The sequence below is a fragment of the Homo sapiens genome, chromosome X (genome assembly GCF_000001405.40).
Source record: "Homo sapiens chromosome X, GRCh38.p14 Primary Assembly".
In the NCBI taxonomy this organism is placed as follows: Eukaryota; Metazoa; Chordata; class Mammalia; order Primates; family Hominidae; genus Homo; species Homo sapiens.
This window is the reverse complement of record NC_000023.11, coordinates 85,250,041-85,275,708: the sequence shown is the minus strand read 5'-3', so window position 1 is coordinate 85,275,708 and position 25,668 is coordinate 85,250,041. Positions and strand designations below refer to the sequence as shown.

At 33.6% G+C, this 25,668-nt stretch overlaps 1 protein-coding gene across 26 annotated transcripts in view; it reads right to left on the bottom strand.

The window, feature by feature from the left end:
• The window catches only part of ZNF711 (zinc finger protein 711), a 29,367-nt gene continuing 6,050 nt past the window's right edge, over positions 2,352–25,668 (bottom strand). For 10 of the 26 annotated variants that reach the window (XM_047442469.1, XM_047442467.1, NM_001375435.1 and 7 more), the window contains 6 exons: positions 19,908–20,450; positions 11,279–11,434; positions 10,454–10,591; positions 7,368–7,415; positions 5,563–5,706; positions 2,352–5,058 (listed from right to left, as the gene is read on the bottom strand). In XM_047442469.1, the coding sequence (XP_047298425.1) occupies positions 3,881–5,058; positions 5,563–5,706; positions 7,368–7,415; positions 10,454–10,591; positions 11,279–11,434; positions 19,908–20,450 (2,207 nt within the window). In that variant the 3' untranslated portion in view covers positions 2,352–3,880. Of the gene's footprint in view, positions 5,059–5,562; positions 5,707–7,367; positions 7,416–8,293; positions 8,432–10,453; positions 10,592–11,278; positions 11,435–19,907; positions 20,463–25,668 lie in introns of all 26 variants that reach the window. The other 16 variants (XM_047442465.1, NM_001375433.1, NM_001330574.2 and 13 more) reach the window with 3 other exon arrangements.

Below are 25,668 nucleotides of genomic sequence, written 5' to 3'. Positions count from 1 at the left end.
CAGATTTTAAAATGGAGGAGAGTTCCCTTTGGGGTAGTTACTTGGGTAATGCTCAAAGAGAAAGGCATAACTGAAACAGGCAAGCGACACATTTTTAGTTTAAGACATCTAGTGCTATACCCTTGAAGTTACAAATTGGCCAATTTCTTCTGCAGGACCTTTAGGAATCTAAAGACCCCTCATAACAATATCCAGTTCTTATCCAGGATCCAAGACTCTAAGAGATCTTTCTCAATCAGTTCCAAATTTACAAGTTATAATTCTTTTGGAAAGACAGGGTGGAGCTGAACAAAGTTGGGAGATTGGGAATGGTCTCAAACCAATTATATTCTAGGGTTCTAATCTAGCCCTGCAGCTTCTCTAAAGCCTTATTAGTTCAAAAAAATCGTACTGTATATAATTCCAAGCCTAGTCAGCTTTTTCTTGGTTCTCACAAGGGGAAGTTGAAAGAGTTAAATGAGATGATTATTTTGTTCCTCTGCCTTCATAGAGGACGAGTCATTTCCCCCTTGGAAGTAGGCATGTCAAGAATTGTGCTATATCCTTCAAAAATTGTTGCAAATATGTCTGGGATTTGCTACAAATTAAACTAGTAGGGGAAGGATGCATCAAAATAAGCTAATCAGGTGTAAGTGGATGAAGGGATAAGTGAGGAAGAATACAAACGAAACAAGATTAGCCATAAAGTGATAATTGTTGAAGCTGGGTGATGGCTATATAGAGGTTCATTATATTTTTCTATTTTTGTACACGGTTTTCTGCAATTAAAGGGATATATATCTTTAAGAGAAGTTCAAGGTTCAAACTAAACTTGTGGTTGTCATGTAAGAGACAGGAGCAGTTGAACTTAAGGGCCCTATCTGTGTAAGAGTTCCCAAATACTATCTTCTCCATCATGGCATAAGCAATTTAAAAGTGACAATTGGATAAATCCATCTACACATATGACCCTGAACTGTTCTGGAAAAATGATTTTTCAGTAATTCCCAATTTTTTCTTTGTCTTGTGAAGGTACTTTGACTTATAGATCTACATTCTAGGTGGAATCTGTCCTGGTATGTAGGAAAGCCTTATGCCAGGAAGTTCATGTCTGCTCTACCTGGGCTGGCATTTTCTAAGCCCAATATACAAGTAGAAGAAAATCCATATACTTTTCTCCAGCCCCACTGTAACCATGACAACTAGAGTAACCACTTAACATGGCTGCATCGTTCAGCTCCTCTACATTTCTTAGAGCCTCCAGAGTGATTTTCAAAACATGTAACAGCACTGTTTTCCTTAACTTTTCCCAAGGACTTCCCGTTTCAAACTTCTCATAGGTCTCATCTCTTTTTTTTTTTTTTTTTGAAACGGAGTTTCACTCTTGTCACCCAGGCTGGAGTGCGATGGCGCGATCTCGGATCACTGCAACCGTCTCTTATCACTCCCACTTGCTAACCATTGTCCAGCCAAAGCTTGTTGCATCTCAGGTTGTTTGCACCTGCAGGTTTCTCTGCCTTGCTCTTCCACAAGACCTTCATATGGCTAGCTCCTTCTTGCGACTCATATCTCAGCTCTAATGTCATGTCCTCAGTAAGAATTCCCTCTGTCCACTCACCCACAACTATCTGTTTAAGCAAAGTAATTAACATGTGGCAGAATTACAGCAGGTGCTTTTGTCTACCACCTTATTACTCATATGGTGGCAACACATGGGAACTTAATAGGAATGCAGAATTGTAGGCCCCACCCCAAATCTATTGAATCAGAATATGCATTTCAGCAAGTTCCCTAGGTGAGCCTCTACAGACTTTAGATTTAAGAAGCACTGGTCTAACATGTGAGGCTGATATTTTCCTTTTCTGCTAGTGATTAATTAATAATTAATAATTCAACTGACAAAGAGTCTTAACTAACAGTGCCATATATATAGAATTATATGAAATGCTCACTGGTTTGAACATAGAAAGTTATTTTTATGCTCATTTGCAGAAATCTTTGCCAAATACACACAACAATACTTTTCCTTTTGAATGTATATTGGGAACATAATTAGATGTATTCACTGCTCAGGATTGTGTCATTTAAGCAAGTTAAGAACTTTTAGTTTTCTCTCTAATATGAAATCTAAGATCTTAAAATGGACACTTTTATTTATAGTATTTCATTATGATTTTAGCAAATAACATACATTCTTAAGAAATATGCATTACATAGTCATCGTAACTGTTTAAATTCCTAGTTCATGTTGTTGTTCATGAACAAAATTCAACAAGACATTAAAGAAAGGACCAATCTGCCTAAGTAACTCTGAAGTGAAGTCTTTTAATAAAAAATATGGAAACTTTAAATAAACTTATAAAACCATTAAGTGCAATAAATGCTTTTTATTGTATGCTCATTTCAATGAGTAACATTTAGAAATAATAATCCCACATAACAGTAGCGATCTTATTTTACAGCGTGTACATCATTTACAGCCACATAACACACAATTTTAGTAGATATTCCAAATTTAATATTCTGAAGTTAAGAAAGATAAAAAATTTATTCTCAAGGAACTGATTCTTATCTGGTGCAAAAACAGAAAGGTGAACATTATTTGAAACACAAAGCCACAATATAGCATGAAGTAAAATTACATTTTAATTATGTTGAACAGCTGAATGTAAACATGAAGCAACTAAAACTTAAAAGTACATATCATATGCATTACATTTATGAACAGGATTTTCATAAAATTTCCCTAAACCAGCTTTTAATATTAAGTGCCATTTTGATTTGCAGCATGCTAACACAAAGCGTTGTTAAAGGGATGCATATTTTAAGTTTATACACTGTAAACTAAATATCCACCTCCAAACTCTATTGGCAGCAGATTGCTCTGTTAAATACTGCATAAACACTGCCTCATATTGAAAATGCATGTTAATCATATGGTATATAGATTTTAAAAATCAATTTCAATAATGGCATAAAATTGCACCTTTAAACATTAGAGCAAGTAAGACTAGAACAATCATACTTGCTAAGACTGTCCTAAAAAAACTCTAGACATTATAATATTTAAGAAAACTGTGTTCTCTCAAATTAATCTTTAGATCATTAAGAAATATAGTGCTGATTTTGTTTGCAACGCTAATGTTGCATCCATTTTAGAAAGCCACATTTGACTCAAATATACTTTTGTCATATATGCCATACTGAACAACAATCAACTTGAACATCAGAAAAAAGGGAACTTTAATCTTTATAGACTTCACCTTAGATCTCAGCACAGAATGCTATATTTTAAGTATCCTATCCTGTGATAAAATATTAACAGCTCTGAATTCTTTTTTAATAGTACTGAATTAATCTAACCTGTTTTCCAGTTAGTTTTCTTTTAATGAATACACAAAACTTTTGTCATTGCTGGAATTTAATTTCCAGGTACAATATAAAAGGCTCAATGACTAAGTGACTGATGAATGACCACATTTTGTTTCCCTGCCCCATTTCTAAAATTGCATAAAAGTGGGTTTGCTTGCTATAGCAAAGCATCACTAAACTCAATTATGTATTCTCTTCTCAGAAACATTTGTATCTAACATAATCAGCCAAATAAAGTATTTGTCTTTGCTTTTCCCCTCTGTAGTTTAAGTATGCATATAATACTATTACACAGATACTTAAGAAGTTTTTCTGTAACCATTCTATAGTGCTTCTTAAATTCTTTAAGTAATTTTCAAAGGGCTATGGGATCCCCTGTGAATTCAAATATTTTAAGATCTTTAATACAAAGAATGTAAAGTCATGGTTTAGTATCAAGCTTTGAAACCCGGTGAGACAGTTAGTGAGAGTTTTCTCCCAAGTAGCATATCATATCTCCTAAATAGCTTCTTTCTTTATATTGATCTTATTACATAAGAGCCTCTTTGTGGTGCCTCATAATATGCTGATTTTTTTCTGATGGTCTTCGGAATCCCTTCTTGCAGAATTCACACCTGTGTGGATAGTCTTTTGTATGTATTGATATCACATGTCGTTTAAAGCCAGATGCATCTGTAGTGCTGTATTCACAATACTCACATTGGTAAATCTTCCTTCCAGTATGGGTCTTCATATGTTTTTTTAGCTCATTTTGTTGTCTGAATCCTCTCTTGCACCTTTTACATTTCAATGGCTGATCTTTAGTATGAACTGAAAGGATATGGCCACTAAGAATAAATGGATCGGATGTTTTAAAGTCACAGTGCCTGCACTGATGAATCTTCCTACCCTTATGGATATCACTATGCTTTTTGAGCTCAGAAGGACGATGAAAACCTTTATCACAGACCTCACATTTGTGAGGAAAATCCTTAGTATGGACAGATATGATGTGCCGCTTAAGGTCACTTGAATTGGTGCTCTTATGGTCACAATGAGGACACTGGTGTGTCTTATGTCCTTGAAACAAATCCAGATGGCGTTGAAGCTCCCTCTCATCACCAAATGCTTGGGGACAATGCTCACATTTATATGGCAAATTGTTACCATGTTTAGACTTAATGTGAGTTTTCAGATTTGATTGATCTGCACACCTGAAAATACAATACTGACACTGATATGGCTTCTCACCAGTATGGGTTCTCATATGTTTCTTGAGTTCAGAAGGATGTCGAAAACCCTTCCCACACTCAACACAAACATGAGGAAAATTCTTGCTGTGAACGGCCAACAAATGCCTGTTTAACAGTCCTTGTTCTGCAGTTTCATAGTCACAGTATTTGCACTTGTGCATCTTCGGCTCCTTGTCTCTTAAAATAAGTTTATTGGAACTCAGTGGACTAGCCTCTCTGTATCTTCGTGTGTATTCTGTAAATTCATGGGTTTTGTCGACTTTGTTTATGAGCTTATGGCTTTCTAAGTGGTTATGGAAACTCACTTTCTTGTTAGTTGTAAAGTCACAATCTGTACACTGATATTTTTTTCTCATTAAATGATCAGGATGATTCTTCATGTGTCTTTTTAAGAATCCCCTGGATTTAAACTTTTTTGTGCAAATATGGCAAGGGTACACTGTGAGGGGCTGTCCATCAGGACCTATTATAACAGCTAGATAAAGAAAAGAGAAAGTTGTGACATTTGGTCAGACTGTTTTAAAGGATTTTATAACAAAGGTGCCAAAACTAGTTGGCATTCACTATGTGAAAACAATACTAGTTGAATGAAATCCTGTAATATAAAAAATACATAATAAAAGCAATTTATGGCAAAGTAGCTCACTAAAAAGTAATGAGCAGCACTCTACTATGAACCACTCACATGCCAAAATGCAATATCATATATACTTTGAATACCAAAAACAGGTACCCTTTATTGTTAAACCAACCTGAAAATTCTCTGTAAAAGTATCTTTGGAATAAAGAGCAAACAAGCATAGTTTTATTAAGTACCAGTCACACAAAGTAAAAAAAAAAAAAAACAATTATCTATAGCATACACAAACAGGTACATGGAGAGTAGAACTGCCAAGTAAACCATCGATATTTTTCTTTGGTGACAAAAAATACTTCCACATCTCAAATAATTATAATATTCATAAAGCAAAGTATTTACCTGTTTGCCACTGCCTGGTTTCTCCCCTTCTCCTCTTTTTGGCTTTTTGTTTAAGTACTTTATTTGTATTAATGCCGTCACAAATTTGAAGGTACTGTGCTGCTGTACTACTTCTGCTTTCTAATGCTGAGTCCAAAGTATTTCCTGGAAAAAAAAATTGAAACATCATTAAATCACATACATTTATACTTTTTTGGTTCTGTTGAATGAGTTACTACAGATGACATGACACCAAGTTACCACTCTGGTAGTAAATTTCACAAAGTATATCCATCTTATGATTCTCTTTCTCTCTCTCACTCTTGTTCTCTCTCACTCACAAGTAAAGACATGTATTTGTAAATACTTTGAATAGGATATCATGTGAAATTAACTTTAAAATATCTCAATTTGATCATCAATTAAATTTAAAATATCTCTATTTTATCAGGAATAAACTGATAAGATGAATGTAATATAAGAAAGTGGATTTGGGGTGGGCATGATGGCCCACACCTGTAATCCCAGCACTTTGGGAGGCTGAGGCAGGACTGCTTGAGGTCAGGAGTTTCAGTCCACCCTAGGCAACATAATAAGATCCTGTCTCTACAAAAAACAAATTGGTCAGGCATGGTGGCATGCACCTGTAGTCCCAGCTACTCAGGAGCCTGAGATGGGAGGATTGCTTGAGCCCAGGAGTTCAAGGTTGCAGTGAGCTATGATTGTGCTACTGCACACCAGTCTCGGTAACAGAGCAAGAAGACCCTGTCTCTTGAAAAAAAAAAAGAAAAAAGAAAGAAAGAAAGAAAAAGAAAAAAAAGAAAGAAAAGAAACTGAATTTGAAACAAAATCTTGGCATCAGACCAATTTTTTTTTACCAATGAAGGCTGATGAAATTAATTGAAAAAGAAATGTAGACATATTACTGAACCATTATAGTTATGGTGACTAAGTGTAATGCATAAAAAACGAAACAGATCTCTTGCAGATATGCTTCAGAATAGTGTACTTGATATAAAGAGTACTACATATTAAGATTGATTTTACGGGTTAACATATGGTAGGCAATTTATTGCAATTTCAGTGTGATCAGTGCATACATTAAAAAGTACTTAATAAAATCCTAGTTATCAAAAATCCATTGTGGTTTTATGCAATTTAGCTAAAAAATGTAGACCTACAAAACTGTCAGGTTAACTTACATGCTGTGATCTATACTTCTCATCAATTTCTCGAAATCAACACCTAAGTTTAGAGAGTCAAATACTTCCCAAGGGTAGAAACAGAACAATGACACATTATCATAAGAAAATATCTCCTTGCTTAAGAAAACTTAACAAGAAGATCAACTAGAGAACAACACCATATAGAGTGTATTAAAACTAAAAAAAATTAAGCTGACACATGGGTTTTATATAACAGTTATATATAAATGCACTGGTTGCCATAGAAATTAAGAAAACAGTTCTGCCCCAAAAAGAACATTAACAAGGGGTTGATATCATGAATAATTTTTACTTTTCTGTCCAAATAATTTCTTATTTCATTTTTTCCATAGCAACCTGTTATGGTCCATTTGATAAACTGCCTGATGCTTAAAGTTTGAGGGAAATCTAAATGGAACTGCATTTACAGATTAACACACATTATGTCCACACATAAATTAATTCCTCAAAGAAGAAACTCCTAACTAACTAGATTAGGTATGACTAAGCAAGTAAGAGTCCAACAAATGTGTCTGTAGACACAAACTTGTTACTTACCAAGCAGTAAAATAAAATAAAGCCAGAACTTTAACTCACATCTCATATACAATGCTCTCTTACCTGATGCTTGACAATCTTCATACCTTCGGGAAACTCTTCTTTCATCTCCTAAAAAAAAAAAAAAAAAAAAAAAGACCAATTACAAACTGATATGCTAATTATAATGACTACTAGTGGATCACATCTTAATCTACAAAATCTTACTTTGCCCACCATTCCTTGGGTTAAAAAAAATTGTTGTGTTCTTCCACTCCTATAGGTTAGATAATGTCACATACTGAAAATAAGGGCTGCTGTTCAGCATCCTTGGAATTGTTAACATCTAGAACAATTTTACTTTTTAAATGAAAACTGGGTAGATATTTCTGCAGTGTACCCCTAACTTTGAAGATGCTCAATAAATAACTGAATGAATGAACCTTTGGAAGAACCAAGTTTAGATAAATTAATGCATTTGAACATCAAAATTTTTCAAAGTAAAGAGTATACCTGGACCATCTTGTACGTTACATAGGAATGAAATAAAATAAGACTGAAAGGGAAAAATAAGTTGATAAATTTACCTTTCATTATATGCTTTCTAAAAGAGCATACCTGGGTTTCTGTTTCTTTTTCAAAACCCCAAAACTTTATCATCTGTAGAGTTAATAAATGAAATAAGTTTTTCCAAAAGAGGAAGGATCGATTTTCAAAGGATATTCCTATTTTAGAAAAATAAAATTTTTTATGGCACTCACTTATACAGGTAGGATTTAAAATAGATCATACTGAAAAACATAATGCATTAAGCAAGGTTCATTTTAAATAGTACAAGGTATGTGGTAGAAAAATCATCTAAAGTAACTAGAGATGAATCAGTCCACAGTGTAAAACATTTTATTATATTAGCCAATTCATGGTGGCATTCACAAAGCTTATTTAATGGCCTAAAGGCTGAGTAAATACATATTATGTACTTATCAGGTGAAAAAATGCCAGTATCCTACCATATGCCGCAGCCCAGACAACAGGGACAACTGTTTTATTAACATCAGAGTCCTCAAGCTGAATCTCAGGGAGAGAAGTTCCTTCCTCTTCCCCTACAATGACTTCCATGTAAACTTCATCTGCTATTTCAGCGCAACCTAAATTTTAGAAATAATTGCTTGTTTATAACCCCAAATATTTAATAAGTGGGTAAAAATTCCAAACAATGTAAATCTTTCAACTTTCAAATTTCAGTTTGGTTAATTTAAAAATTTATAAATTTAATTTCAATTTATATTAGGCACTTTTGGAGGCTAGTGCCACTAGGAGACAATCATTTACCAAAACTCTTATTCTCCTCTTAGAACCAAGTTCTATGGAAATGGCTTTTAAAAATTTTATAAAAACATGTGCGCTTGAAATATACTGAATGATCTTACATTCTATCAGGCATTATACATTTATTTGCCTGACAGTCTTTTGGGACTCAGAAAATATTTCTCATAGAAATAATACTAGAAAGTGGTCCATACTATCTCGTATACTGTATTATAAATGAAATGCAGTACTATACATGTAATAAAAATCACCAAAAATACTTGTAATTGAAAAAAATTTAAAATAAAAATAAAAATTATATATGTATATAATGCTAGTGATCAAGAATATGTGGACACTCTTCAATAGGCCAGATTTTAAGAGATTCTACTGAGGAGAGAAAGCATTAAATGAGCTTCATTGAACAAAACAATATTGCGGTAAGAAAAAAAAAATATTTAAACCTAGAGAGCCACAATATACTTTATATAAAATAATCTGTTTACATTTAACTTGTTAAATAGAAAATTGTCTTGAATTTTTGCTTTTCCTTTGATTCACATACTGGGATCCTGGATGACTACAGAAGAAATGTGGGGAAAAACATGGGAAAAAAGTATCCCTCTTCTCCCAAGTTTGTCTTCTCTCTATTAACCAAAAAGAGACACTGGTCTAAGTTTCCCACATTCCCATAGAATTCTGGCATAAGTTAACTTAAACCTCAATCTTCCATTTCCTACTGTGCCCCTTTCCTTACCAATAAATAAAAAAATAAAGAATTTAGAGATCAAATAGAAATTATTTGATTAAACTCTTTTCCTATCCATCAGAATCTTCTCCACTCATTTGTTTTGATATTTTCAGCTGTTTGGGGGTGGAATTCAGCACCCTACAACTTCTAGGGAAGGAAACTTGGAGTAGGTATCAGAGTGCAGCACAGGTAAAGCCCAATATTGTCAAGTTAATGCAGTGAAATGGAGGCTCTTAGCCTTCTAGGGCAAGGCAATATTGTGTTTTTCTCAGCATAGTAAGAAGACAGGAATAGCCTTAGGAAAGGGCTGCATTCCTATACTGAGGTGAGGAGAAAGTAGGCAGAGAGCAAAATGTCTTCATAAGGAAACCTGCGGTATGGCAGGAAAGGAAACCTGAGGAGGTTTGATCGTCCTGTGGTACTTAGCCCCACAAAACCTTAAGCAGCAACTGCTTGGAGACCATCAACAGCATAGGAAATCAAACTCCTGGCAGCTTGGCTTGGAAGAATACTTACATAAGATAACCCTTTAGTGACAGGAGAACAAACCATCAGCCCTTCAATTGCTAAATCCAGAGAGAAGCCAACAGTGCCCACTGCCATGTGGAAAGAACATTGGCAGTGGAGTTAGATAACCATTAAAATCCTGCCCTTCACACTTAATATTGGAATGATCTTGGATAAATTATTTTCCCTGAATCTTTTTTTTTCCTTCCATAAGACAGGAAAAATACCACCTACCTCAGATATGAGTTGTAAGAATTAAATGAGATAGTATCTTGCAACATATTCAGTAACGCACAGAAAGTAGGTACTCAGTAATTACATATTTTTGAGCTTCACTGATGTCAGGAGCTGTATGTTGTTCATCTCTGTATTTCTAGTATAGTATACTAAGATATATTATTTAATGTTTGGTGATTTGAACAATACATGTACAAATGAATGGTCAAAAGGACCCTTCACTTTTAAATTATTTACAGCAAAGGGTCAAAGGATCAGGCTTATTTTATTGAACTTTGTTCCTATACAGTGCTTGTATCTCTGAGATTTTTTAAAAATAATGCATGATGGCTACTGATAAGTCACTACAGTGCCCTTATTTTCTTACTGATATCATCTTCTTCTTGAGAAGAATCTTTAACTGCCATGTAAACCATCTTCTCCCGCTGCATTCGGCTCTGGTCAAGCACTCCAGCTACTGAATGTCCACTGGTGTACTCACTCTCTGTGACAATTTCTGTTCCACCTTAAAAATTAAAACACGCATTAAAATAGAGAAGTATCATGGAATAACCACCTAAATTAATAAGAAGAATATATAGAAATATTTCTTAGAAAAAAAATAAATTCCAAAATAAATTTCAAAGTGCCAAGAACATTTTCATATAAATTATACTTTAAATTTTCAGCTATCACTGAGAAATGACAATTGTTAATCCTTACATCAAGCTTATATGCCAAGCAGTATATAAGTCTTTTATACATATTTACCCCTTTAACCCTCACAACAGCCCTATAGGTAGCTTTTATTATTATGAGAATTTTATGGATGAGGAAACAGACAGAAGGGGGTTAAGTAATTTATCAAAGGTCACTCAGCTAAGTGACAGGACCTATTTAAAACCCAAGCAGCCTGCCTCTAGAATCCATGCTTGTAAACACTCATTATAGTTTCTTAATCTAAACCAAATCCTCTCCAATCATTTGTTTTGATATTTTCTGCTGCAGTATTCTACTCATGCTTGAAAGAATCAAAGAATGACATATTCTGCATTCCTGCTTTATATTCATATACAATTTTTAAAAGTAGACTATTCCCAAAGAAAACGTATTAAAAAAACCCATGCTTTGAGAACATTTTTAGACTAGTCCCCAGAAAATATAATAAATTATAACTCCTATTGGAGCAATAAATTAAAATTAGTGTTTGTACCTATTTCAACATCATCTTCAGCCTCCGCTTTAAATATATACACTTTTATAACTTCAGAACCAAACCCATCTTCTTTAGCATCTTCTTGTGAACCATCACTGCCAATTTTTAATGGTGTATTCCCCATATGCTCTAATTTTTCTCCAACATCATCCACTATAAAATATAAACAAAATTATTTCAGTCAAAAAATACCATTGACAAAAAACAACAAAACAAGAAAAATTACCACTATTTAGTGGGTGTTAAGCTGAAGTGTAACGTGAAATAATGTTAACCACCTACCCACTGTATTCACTTAATAACCTATTATGAAGCCATTAAAAGTGTTATGATTCATGAATAATAGACATTAGGGACTTCAAAAAGGTGGGGGGAGAGGAGATTATGAGGTTTGAAAATTTATCTATTGGATACAATGTTCACTATTCAGGTGATAGGTACACTAGAAGCCCAAACCCCACCACTACACAATATTACATCCATGTAATAAACCTGTACCTGTGCAACATAAATCTGCAACAATAAAATTATTTTTAAAATTTAAAAAAGCATCAAGGTTCATGGAAAAACAGTACACAAGATCAGTTATATTACATAATCGCAATTATATAAAAATCTATTTACAGATTTCAATTAATAGATACAAAATACTTAACCATATAGCTTTAATTAAAACGGCTTCAAATTCTATCACTTTCAATATTTTAAGGTAAATCCTAACACTAAATTTAATAACAGAAAAATTAAGAACATAAAACATATATTACTCATAAAATGAGTTCACATAAACTACAGTTCCCAAATTAAATAGTGGTTGTTTCTAAAACAAATTAGCATACAAGATCTAGGATTAAAAAAAGAAACACAGAGAACACCTAAGTGACTATAAAAACAGGTTTTCATACATCATGGAAATAAAATCTTAGTAAATACTCTAATTTCTGCAGGGTCAATGGAAGACAACTTCAAGCCATGAATTTTGTATATATCTAGATTTTGCAATGTATGCTTTATTTCAAAATTATATGTAAGGGAAATAAATGGGTATTTCCCCCTCTTTTTCCTTATTAAAAGAAAATCATATATAAAGATAAGGCAACAGTATTTGGACCTATTGCTTACATTTTAAATACACTTAAAATTTTTGATTCTCCACTGTATAGTCTTTTAGGATAACATTTAAGTTCACATGAATACTATGCATGAACTATGCAATGAATAGATTAATAAACTCTGTCCTCTGACCATAAATAATATTCAAACAATATATGCCTCCTAAATATTATATGCCTATAATTTATTCTTTTAATGCTGTTCCTATAAAAACACAAATGTAATCTAAATTGAAAATCTACTCCTCCTTATTATATATATGTAACAGTACTAAATATGAAACATCAAATTTTGAAGCCCCTACATACATCTAACAATTCTAGAACCATTAAAAACAGAATAAAGTGACATTAAAAAGCTATTAATTCAGCACTCCTAAAAACAATTTTAGCAAGATCTAAATGGGTCAAAGTCTAGATTTTCCTTACTTTAGTTTCAAACTTGATACATACAACTTGAAAAATATTCCTTAGGCCTTTCAAAATAGTGGAAAACAACACATATTAAAAATTATTTTTACATTGCAGAGCTACTTTAACTTTGTGATTAAATACAAATGATTCTATCCTACTTCCAAATTTTAATAGCTTACTGTCTATGAAAGATAGCATCCAAATGATCAAAATAAAGTCTACATATTTTCATTCCATCAGAGCTCCTAATTATATTACTAAACTTTTGGCAACATTTTTGACAATGGTACAAATTAAAATAAAAAAAGATTAAGTATTTGATATTACTGGCTTAATAGCTTCTCTTATAAAATAATGTTGAATAAAAATGACATAGAAAAAATCATGAGTAAGTTTTTAGAAAAAAACTATATTCTCATTAATTAAAAACAGAATATAAAAAAACTTCAAAAAGTGTCCAAAATACAAACTTTTAGGCTGAAATAACTTATGGTAAATTAATAAAATAATAAAAATACTCTCATTTTATAAATTCTACTTTATTATACATGAATAGTTTAAAGCGATCACAGTTCCTTCTGGGATAAGCTGAGTTAAAACTATAATTCACAAAATTAAAGTTCATGAAATGAAAGTCACATTTTTTTCACCACTTCTTAATAGTTTTGTACCATAATTTTAGCAATAAGTATGAAATTACTAATACTATTCTCTCTGATTCCATTTCTACCTTTTCTTAAGGTTCATACTTTTAAATTTAATGCATCCATTAATTTTTACTTAGATTCCTCAGAATGAGCAATTTTGAAATGTACTAACTGAACTTATTCTGTATTTTAAGTTCACAGAAAATGATAAAATTATTAAAGATATTGGCACGCAGTTTTAAGAGGTAAACCATCAACTTGACCAAGATTTATTCTATATCCTTCGTTATGGAAAGTACGAAATTAACAAAGACTTAATAGGCAATCAACTGACTTTAGAAATAAATCTCCAAAGGCCCTTCTAAATGCAGATAATACTCAAAATACCTTAAATTCAAGCTTAAATGTTTTGCTTGTTGTAAGGTATGCAATATTCAAGTCCAATAGTGTTGTTTCTCAATCCAGCAATAAGTAATAAAATAACCACCACAGAATTCTTCTGGCACTAAATATAATATAAGAAAGTGAAGTGCATTGTTTGCCAACACTGTAAAGTTTGGTAACATTCAATATTATTTTATGGCCCACTCACACAATTTAATTAAAATTTCATTTTAGTCAAATGTACAATATAACATTCCTTTTTAAAAGTTAGGTAGGCTTTTTATTTTACCTGTTGCATGTTACTTACATCTACCAAAATTATATGGTGAGTATGGTATAAAAACTATACAGTATACTGATATACCACAGTGATGGGATTAGGCAATATACAAAGAATCTGTATTTCACAATAGAGTGAAAAAGTGAACAACAAGATAGTCACCTTTAGATTTCAGAGTTATGCCACTCCCAGGTATATACCCAAGAAAACTAAAAATATACACTCACATAAAAACTTGTACATAAATGTTCATGGAGCATTATTCATAATAGCCAAAAAGTGGAAACAACCTAAATGTCCATTAACTGATGGATGAATGGATAAACAAAATGTGATAATACCCATATAATGGAATGTTATTAGTAATACTGAATGAAGTACAGTTGACCCTTGAATAACATAGGTTTGAATTGTGCAGGTCCACTTATCCATGAATTTTCTTCTGCTCTGCTACCTCTGAGACAGCATGACCAACCCTTCTTCCTCTCCTTCTTCAGCCTACTCAATGTGAGGACAATAAGGATGAGGACCTTTATGATGACCCACTTCCACTTAATGAATAGTAAATATATTTTATTTTCCTTATGATTTTAACATTTTCTTTCCTCCAGTTTACTTTATTGTAAGAATACAGAATATGATACATATAACATACAAAACATGTTAATTGACTGTTATTGGTAAGACTTCTGGTCAACAGTAGGCTGTTAGTAGTTATGTTTTTGGTAAGCTGAAAGTTACATATGGCTTTTCAACTGTGTGTATGTCAGCAGGGGGGGCGGGGTTCAGCACCCTTAACCCCTGCATTGTTCAAGGGTCAAATGTACTGATATATGCTATGACATGAATGACCCTTGAAAACATTATGTGAAGTAAAAAAAGCCAGACATAAAATGCCACATATTGTATAACTCCATTTATATGAAATATCCAGGATAGGCAAATCTATACAGGCATGGTTGCCTCAGAGTGGATGGGGGGGGGGCTAACAGCTAAAGGGTATAGGGTTTCTTTTTGTGGTGATGAAAAAGTTCTAAAATTGATTGTGGTGATGGTTGTACAACCCTGTGAATATATGAAAAACCACTTATTTGCACACTTCAGATGGGTAAATAAAAGGATGTGTAAATTATATCTCAAAAAAGTCATTATAGTTTTTAAAATTATAAAGGTGTTAACTTTTTTTACCCCTGAAATTAGGGAGGTTTGAATGAGATCTCCCATCATGATGTTAACAAGATATTTTGCTTTATACAAAATTATGTTCCTTAAGCAAGAATCCTCAAGAAAATACTAGTAAACTAAATTCAACAGCACATCAAAAAGTTAAAACACCATGATCAACTAGGTTTCATTCCAAGGATGAAAGGGTGGTTCAACATATGCATATCAATAAATGTGATTCACCACATAAACAGAATTACAAGCAAAAACCATGTGATCATTGCAGTAGATATGGGAAAAGCTTTTGATAAAATCAGAATGTATTAGCCCTTCATGATAAAAACCCTCAAGAAACTAGGCATCAAAGGAACATATCTCAAAATAATAACAGCCATTTATGACAAACCCAAAGCCAATATCGAACTGAATGAGCAAAAACTGGAAGCATTCTTCTTGAGAACTGGAATAAGACAAGGATGCCTACTCTCATCACTCCTATTCAGCATAGTACTGGAAATCCTAACCAGAGCAATCAGGCAAGAGAAAGAAATAAAAGACATCCAAACAGTAAAATAAGTCAAACTATCTCTCTTTGCTGATGATATGATTCTATACTTAGAAAACCCTAAGGACTCTGCCAAAGGCTATTAGAACTGATAAACAATTTTATTAAGGCTTCAGGATACAAAATCAATGTACAAAAATCAGTAGCATTTCTACACACCAACAACATCCAAGCTGAGAGCCAAATCAAGAATGCAATTACATGTACAACAGCCTCAAAAAAATACCCAGGAATATATTTAACCAAGGAGGTGAAAAACCTCTACGAGGAGTACTATAAAACACTAATAAATGAAATCACAGATGACACAAACAAATGGAAAAACATTCCATGCTCAAGGATTGGAAGAATCAATATCATTAAAATGGACATACTGCCCAAAGCAATCTACAGATTCAATGCTATTCCTATCAAACTACTAACGTCATTTTCACAGAATTGGAAAAAACTACACTAAAATTCATAAGGAACCAAGAAAGAAATAGCCAAAATAACCCTAAGCAAAAAGAACAAAGCCAGAGACATCAATTATCCAACTTGAAACTACACTACAAGGCTACAGTAACATAAACAGCATGTTACTAGTACAAAAACAAACACATAGACCAAAGGAACAGAAAAGAGAACCCATAAACAAAGCCACATAACTACAACCATCTAATCTTTGGCAAAATCAACAGAAGTAAGCAATGGGAAAGGACTCCCTATTCAATAAATGGTGCTGGGATAGCTGGGAAGCCATATCCAGAAGAATGAAACTGGACCCCTATGTTTCACCATACAAAATTTAGCCAAGATGGACCAAAGTTTAAAGATAAAACCTCTAGACATAAGAATCCTAGAAGAAAACCTAGTAAACACTATTCTGGACATTGGCCTCGGGAAAGAATTTATGACTAAGTCCCCAAAACCAATTGCAACAAAAGCAAAAATTGACAAGTCAGAACTAATTAAACTAAAGAGCTTCTGCACAGCAAAAGAAACTATCAACGGAGTAAACAGACAACCTACAGAATGGGAGAAAAATATTCACAAACTATGCATCGGACAAAGGTATAATATCCAGAATCTACAAAGAACTTAAATCAGCAAGCAGAAAACAAGTAACTCCAATAAAAACGGGGAAAAGGCATGAACAGACACTTCTCAAAAGAAAACATACAAGTGGTCAACAAACATAGGAAAAAAATGTTCCACATCACTAATCATCAGAGAAATGCAAATCAAAACCACAGAGACATCACCTCACACCAGTGAGAATGACCATTATCATTATTATTATTATTATTATTATTTTGCTTGTTCATACTGACAAGCTATTTTTTAAAATGTTTTTATTTCAATAGCTTTTTGGGGAATAGGTAGTGTTTGGTTACATGAATAAGTTCTTTAGCGGTGATTTATGAGATTTTAGTGCACCCATAACCTGAGCAGCGTACACTGTACCCAATGTTTACTCTTGTATCCTTCACCACCCACAACCCTTTCTCCCGAGTCCCCAAAGTCTAATGTATCATTCTTATGCTTTGCATCCTCATAGCTTAGCTCCCATATATGAGAGAAAACATATATTTGGTTTTCTGTTCCTGAGTTACTTCACTTAGAATAACAGTCTCCAATTCCATCTAGGTTGCTGCAATGCCATTATTTCATTCCTTTTTATGGCTGAGTAGTATTCCATAGTGTACCACATTTTCTTTATCCACTCGTTGATTGATGGGCATTCCGGCTGGTTCCATATTTTTTTGCAATTGCAAATTGTGCTGCTATGAACATGCATGTGAAAGTATCTTTTTTGTATAATGACTTATTTTCCTCTGGGTAGATACCTAGTAGTGGGATTGCTGGATCAAACAGTAGATCTAGTTTTAGTTCCTTAAGGGATCTCCACACTGTTTTCCATAGTGGTTGTACTAGTTTACATTCCCACCAACAGTGTAAAAGTGTTCCCTTTTCACTGCATCCATGCCAACATCTACTATTTTTTTATTATGGCCAGAATGGCCATTACTAAAATGTCAAAAAAACAACAGATGTTGGTGAGGCTGTGGAGAAAAGGGGACACTTAAACACTGTTGGTGGGATGTAAATTAGTTCAGCCACTGTGGAAAGCAGTTTGGAAATTTATCAGAGAATTTAAAACAGAACTACCATTCAACTCAGCAGTCCCACTCTGGGTATACATCCAATGGAAAACAATCATTCTACCATGAAGACACACACAGTTGTGTGTTCATCACAGCATTATTTACAATAGCAAAGACAGGGAATCAACCTAGGTGCCCATCAACAGTGGACTGGATAAAGGAAATGTGGTACATATACACCACAGAATACTACACAGCCGTAAGAAAAGAAGAAATCACGTCCTTTGTAGTAATATGGATGCTGCTGTGGGTCATTATTCTAAGCAAATTAATGCAAGAACAGAAAACCAAATACTGCATGTTCTCACTTATAAGAGAAGTCTAAACATGGGGTCCTCATGGACATAAAGATGGCAACAACAGACATTGGGGATTACTAGAGGTGGGAGGGAGGGAGTGGGGCGAGGACCAAAAAACTAACTGTTGGGTACTATGCTCAGTACCTAGGAGATGGGATCATTCATACCCGTACAAATCCTAAAATAAAAGTTGAAACCAAACAAATCAACAAAAAATAAAATTATATTCCTCAAAGGAGTCCTTGTATTTGATATATGAGGTAGTTATCAAAATAATTATTCTAACTTAGAATATTCCAGAAACTTTTTTAAAAAACTTTTGCAGAATTAAATCATAGAAGATAACACAAGGTATGACTGTTCACAATACATGACATCTAAATTTTGCACTACTTTAATATCAGTTTAAATTAATGAATACTCTTTTGAAGACATACTGAATTTTAGTGTAGACTACCAACTTTTGCCACATCATTTTACATGATAACCATACTATAGATCTTTTAAAAAATGCCACGTTAAGATGTAAATATGGAGTTGCTTTAGTAATCTATATCTATTTAAAAATAGGTAACAATATTTGCAGTCTTTTAGTGGCTTACATTATTTTCTTAAAAACAATGTAAAAATTCACCTTCAAAAGTGCTTATAGAAGAAAAAAGTTATGCTAAACTTTACAATTAAATTCACAAATTAAATAAATTTAGTTTATTTTCAGTTTTAAATTCACTAATACACATATACATACGATCACTTTATACACACATACACACACACACTCTACCTGGTGATAAACTTCCCAGTCAACCATTTTTGTATTTTAAAAAGAATAAAAATCTTCCCTGGATAAGTCAAAAAAAATTGTCTAATCTTAACTACTTGTAGCATGATCCCTTCAAATTTAATAACTAATATACCTACTTCTTTAAGCTCCATCAATAACTTATCAAGATATTTTTTATTTTTGTTGCTGCTCTCATAAACCCATCATTTAAAATGAGAACAAAATATTTCTATCTTCCCGCTTCGGATAGAATGTTTTAAGAATCTTGCAAAGCAGTCTAAAATAAACATGTTAAATAGCTTTGCATAAAATATACACACACATATTTAGGCATAAGCAATATAAACACAGGGAGAACTGTAGGACATTATCTGAGTTTATGATTTACTTTTCAAGTATTTAATTTAAAAATCAATACATTTCTTAACATATTCTGCTTAAGTTCCTAAGAAAAACTTAATTGACAATTTCAGTGCCTGTCATATTAAAAAAAAGCAGTGGCTACATAAGAAAGTTCCCATGTTGAAATATATATATTTATCATTAAAATTTTGTATCAGTTAATGTTCTTGTTGTTGCCAAATCTATACCTCTATTTTAAGATACTAATAAACTGCATTATTTTACTTCATTTCAGGTATGAATTTTCATTGAATAAATTAAAAACATCAGTAAACTCAAAACAGCATCTTAATGACACTGCTTCAAAAAATTATTTTTCAAAAAGATTCCCCTATAACTTTTATTGAATATATCCCTCATCCCAGAAAACTTTTCCAGATTATATAAATCAATCTCCTGAGTAATTATGGGCTTTATGTTTCACTTACAAGATATCATTAAGTAGTCTTCAGAAGTGCTCTTGACATCATCATCATCATCATCTTCGGTTTTTATAGTAACTGTAGAACCAGGAACACCTCCAGCTGCTTGAATCACAGTTTCTGTATCTGAATTAGTTACAAGAACCTCCTCTGATACCATTGTGGGAGAGTCGACTCCTGAAACACAATCTTGGACCACATGTTCTAAGTGTCCATTAGGACCAGTAACAAGGTCAGCCACGAAAACCTGCTCTGGTACCCTAACGGTTTCTGTAATTAGTTCAGAAGTCAAGATGTGATCACCATCATCTTCCTCTAAATCCTCTTCAATGGCAACATCAGCTTCAAGTACCGCTTCAGGAACAATCACACCTTCTGTTACTACATCAGTCTCTGTGATGATATCAGGTCCATGGACAACTTCAGCTGCAAGGCCATGATCAAGAGTTATCCCATCATCTGTGACAACATCAGAAACTAAAACAGCTTCAGGAACTGAAACAACAATATGGTCTCCATCGATATGTGCAGTACCAGCCATTCCAGCCACTATAATACAAACAATTATCCAAAAAAGGTAAAGTTATTTTATTAATTTAGAGTACTGTATTTAATAAATCAAATGCTATAAATATTTCTTAAATATTAAGTAATCTTGGCCAAATAAATCATTTTTTAAAATCATTGACAATTTAACTGCAATTAAAATCACCAACAACCAGGAATTGGGTTAGAGTTGGGTGAAAACGATGTTAGTAAAATCTACATGAAGACCTTAAAATAATATACTTTATTTTCAAGTAAAACATAAAAGCCATAATGAGATATCACTACATTCCAATTAAAACAGTTAACACAAAAAACAGTGATAGCACCATAGGCTGGTGAGGATGTGGAGAAACTGGATTTCTCAAACGTTATTGGTGCAAACGTAAAATAGTAGCAGCCACTCTCGAAAATAGTTTGGCGATTTCTTTTTTTCTTTTTCTTTTTTTTTTTTTTTTTTGAGACGGAGTCTCGCTCTATCGCCCGGGCTGGAGTGCGGTGGCGCGATCTCGGCTCACTGCAAACTCCACCTCCCGGGTTCACGCCATTCTTCTGCCTCAGCCTCCTGAGTAGCTGGGACTACAGGCGCCCGCCACTGCGCCCGGCTAATTTTTTTTTTTTTTTTTTTTTTTTTTTTTTTTTTTTTTTGAGACGGAGTCTCGCTCTGTCGCCCAGGCCGGACTGCGGACTGCAGTGGCGCAATCTCGGCTCACTGCAAGCTCCGCTTCCCGGGTTCACGCCATTCTCCTGCCTCAGCCTCCCGAGTAGCTGGGACTACAGGCGCCCGCCACCGCGCCCGGCTAATTTTTTGTATTTTTTTTAGTAGAGACGGGGTTTCACCTTGTTAGCCAGGATGGTCTCGATCTCCTGACCTCATGATCCACCCGCCTCGGCCTCCCAAAGTGCTGGGATTACAGGCGTGAGCCACCGCGCCCGGCCTAATTTTTTGTATTTTTAGTAGAGATGGGGTTTCACCGTGTTCGCCAGGATGGTCTCGATCTCCTGACCTCGTGATCCACCCGTAGTTTGGCGATTTCTTACAAAACTAAATATGCACTTACTATACAATCCAACCATTGCAATCTCGGGCATTTTTCCCCAGAAAAATGAAAATATATGTTTATACCAAACACTGTACAGAAATATTCCTAACAGCTCATAGTAGCTATTACTCATAGTAGCAAAAAATTAGACACAACCCAAGTGTCCTTTAGCAGGTGAATGGTTGGTTCCACCAACTCTGGCACATCCCTACTATGGAATACTACCCAGCAATAAAAATGAACACACTGTTGATATATTCAACAACCTGAATTTCCTCCAGAAAATTTTGCTGAGGGAAAAAAAGACAATCACCAAAGGTTATGATACTGTATAATGTATAAATGGAGTAATTTATATTATCTCAAAACAATAAAACTATAGAGATGGAGAACAGATTATTGGTTGCCAAGGGTGTCTGTGTGTGTGTGTGTGTGTGTGTGTGTGTGTGTGTGTCTGTGAACACACAGGGATAGCATATATATAGTGATAGAACAGCTCTGCATCTTCATTGTGGTGGTATTTACACAAATCTATATGTGGGATAAAACTGCATAGAATATATACATTCACATACACACACACGAATATATGTTAAAAATGGTGAAAACTGAATTAGGTCTGTAGTCTAGTTAACAGTAATGTGTGAATGTCAATTTCCTGGTTTTTGTATTATACTACAGTTATGTAAGATGCCACCATCACAGGAAGGTAAGTAAAGGGTACATGGACTGTATGTACTCCTTTGCTCTATTGCTTGTGAGTCTATAATTGTTTCAAAAAATTAAAATAAAAAGGCACAAAAACGTAAAAGGATACTAATATGTTAAGTGAGTTAATAAAATATTCTATTATAAAATATACATCATGAACATGAAAGTGTCTGAACTTCTTTAACTTATAATAATTACTGTATCCAAAATTGGAAGGCATCTTTCAACACCTGATTTAGGGGGAAAAACTCTGTACTCATCTTAGACTAATATTTGGTTTGATAATAGTAAATCTGTAGGAATAAAGCTTTAATGTTTTTCTTGAGCGGCATGGTAAACACCAACTCCTACCTGCCCTGTAAATATTGTACAAGTGTAAAATCCCTTCATGAGGAATTCTGCTAAGTTCTGCTCCCTGAGGTGGTACAAAAACAAATTAAGAGGGCTTGTGGATCTGGTTATAATAAATTATCTACAAGAAATCATCCAGTACAAAACCTTTTGATCACTTTCTATAAAGTAGTACCTGAAAGAGTGTTATTTGTCACATAGTGTTCATTATTTTTAATCAATTCATTATGGAAGTTAGTTACCAAGTTAGGATGGAGACCAATGGACACTAACACATCAAAGAACAAGGTGAAAAGGGAAAGCTGAGCTTTCAACAGCGTTTTTGGGATACTTTACTTTCAACCCTTTTAAATCCTTCTCACCGCTCAAACTCTCACCCAAACCACTAAATTACCCCAAAAGGACACAGCCACAATCCTGGAAGTCTGGTACACGAAGGGAGTATGTATAAAACAAGTATTTTTAATTCAGTTGTTACTCCACTGGGCATTTCAGAAATGGGGAGGAGGTGGGGGTTCAAATTTAGCATTTAATCAGACTAGAAATGTGGTTTTTTAGCAAGGAAAAAATTAAAATATTAATCCTGTAAAATTAACTGTACTGGAATTCTATATATCTAAACAATAAAATTACTAATTCACAAAAATCTTTTCACAAACCAAAGATTTAAAATATGGGAAATTCCATTTATTTTAGAACACTGCTGAAGATTAGTCTGGTTCTTGAAAGTAGACCATAGGGAAGGAAAGAAGGGTAGAATAATGCTAGTGGGGACTTGGTTTCAGATCAACCTGGTTGGGTGGATTCTAAGAGGATAGACTGAAGGAACAGTGCTAGTTCACTTAGCCTCTAGCAGGAACTTACAAGTCAAAATAGATCAGATCTAAAAAACTAAATAAATAAATCCAAATATGTTTGTTTATCCTGAACCAAATGCTCTCAAGGATCCTAGACCAAGAATTGGTAAGTCCCTCACAGGGTAGCAGCAGATTACTTAGACCAAGATCCAAGATATCTCTTATTAAATTTTGCTTGTTCTTCTTACCAGTTCATCTGTTAGATTCCACTGACTTTCTAAACAAAGTCACTTAGCTATAGATTAGCTATATTTATTAAGCACTGACTATCCAACAAGCAACCTGCTAATACAAGTATCATCTCATTTAATCCTCAGAACAACTGTATAAGGTGAGTGCGATTATCCTCATTTTAAATAAGGAGGAACTATGGTTTACAGATGTTATATAAGGTTGCCACAAGGTCCTAGCTGGAAACTGAACTCACTGTTTGACTCCAGACTGCCTTTTTTCTACTTGCCTGGGAAGAGGTTAGAGTATATTTACCCTAGATACTGTTTTTTAAAGAGAGGTGTAAGATTAACTAAGTGAGGCACAGCTAGAGGAACAGCTTGAGATAAACAGTAAAATGGCCTATCACGTGGTAGCTCATTTAAATTTTAAATCATTTCGTAAACAGCATTAAATTGCGTTAATAATTCATCTTACTAGCTTAGAAAATTATAAACAATAAGAAAAAATCATTTAAAAAGTATAAAATTAAATAATCAGGCAACAGTAAGAAACATGTCCTGATTTCCAGTATTTCCCATTTTATTAAAGTTATTCCATTTAAATATGAATACTTGGAACATCACCAGAATGACAGCATAAAATCTGTTACGTGTCAGGTCTGTCTTGGGCCACTATCTAAGGGTGTTTTGCTATTTATATCCTAAAACAACACAGACTTTTTGTAGCATTAAAATCTTAAACAACTATTAAATTCAATCTCATACTTCAAGGACAGCTATTATACTGAGACACCAGCAAGGTTATTGAACAAAGTTGTAAATTTCTAAGTCTCAAATATTCTTCAAAATAAATTGGTCCAATGAATTATGCATTAAATTAATGTTTCAGATTTTCTGTATTGTATCAACCAAGAACCTTACAGAATTTGGAGATCTTGTGCCACAGTGTTCTTATTTGGTTAGCTCTGTGTATGTTAAACTCTAAGTTTCACAAATGTCAATAATTTATGGGGCTGCAAATATCTAAGTTTTGACGCTAACAGAATTTAAAGAGAATGTATCTAATTTCTAATGAAATTTTAGAATTTAGAAATTTTAACAGGGAGGTAAAATAAGCATGGGGGGGCTGCTTTCAGAAGAAATCTAAGTTATCAGGGCTAAAATTTCCAGAAGTCCCCTAATAAAGGTCTTTTTAGGTTTAGGTCTGTTTGACAACCTTTGCATTTCACAAAATATCATACAAAAATGAAAATGCCTATAAATGAAATTGTGCTGGGAACTGCATATCAAAAATAGAGTGAGTTACTGCCTTTTACGAGTTCAGAATTTACCAAGGACAAATGGAAACTTAACATATTTCAAGTCAACATTATCCCTAGGCACAAATGAGTGAGCATTACCCATATTAGTTACTCTTGATCTAATAGCAAATTCAGAAAAACAGTCTCACCAAAAATGCAAAAGTAATTTAACTGCCATTGATTTATATACCTTGATTTAAGAGAGCATAAAAATGAAATTTAAAAAGAATGCATCATTTGAAAAAACCACTAACTCAAAATACTACCAGTTAAATCATAAACAGGTATATAACAACAAAAACAACAATAAGTGCCTTTAAACATTTTTCTGATACAAATCAGTTTACTCAATTAAATTCATTTTAGAGAGGGCTTTAAATGATAATATGAAAATACTAATTAAAAATTAGAAGTAGTTCACAAACCTTTCAATTTTATTATTTCTAAAAAGGGAGGGGATAGTGAACGAAAATCTTACTTTCTACATATTTATGCAGCTATAATTGTGTATAGGTATATGTGTGTATATATATTCTCCTCAATTCAAATGAAAAAAAAATTCCAAGAGGCTCTGCTATTTATTCTGTGGTTTCAGGTATGCCTTGGCATACTGTCACACGCCTCCAAAGGCACTCATACTTCAATCTAAGATGCAAAGCTTATTTTGTCAAACACATAATATTTCTAGTGGATTAAAAATATTTCAACAACCCAAATATCTATCAACTGATAAACAAATAAACCAAATGTGGTGTACTCATACAATGGAATATCATTGGCAGTGA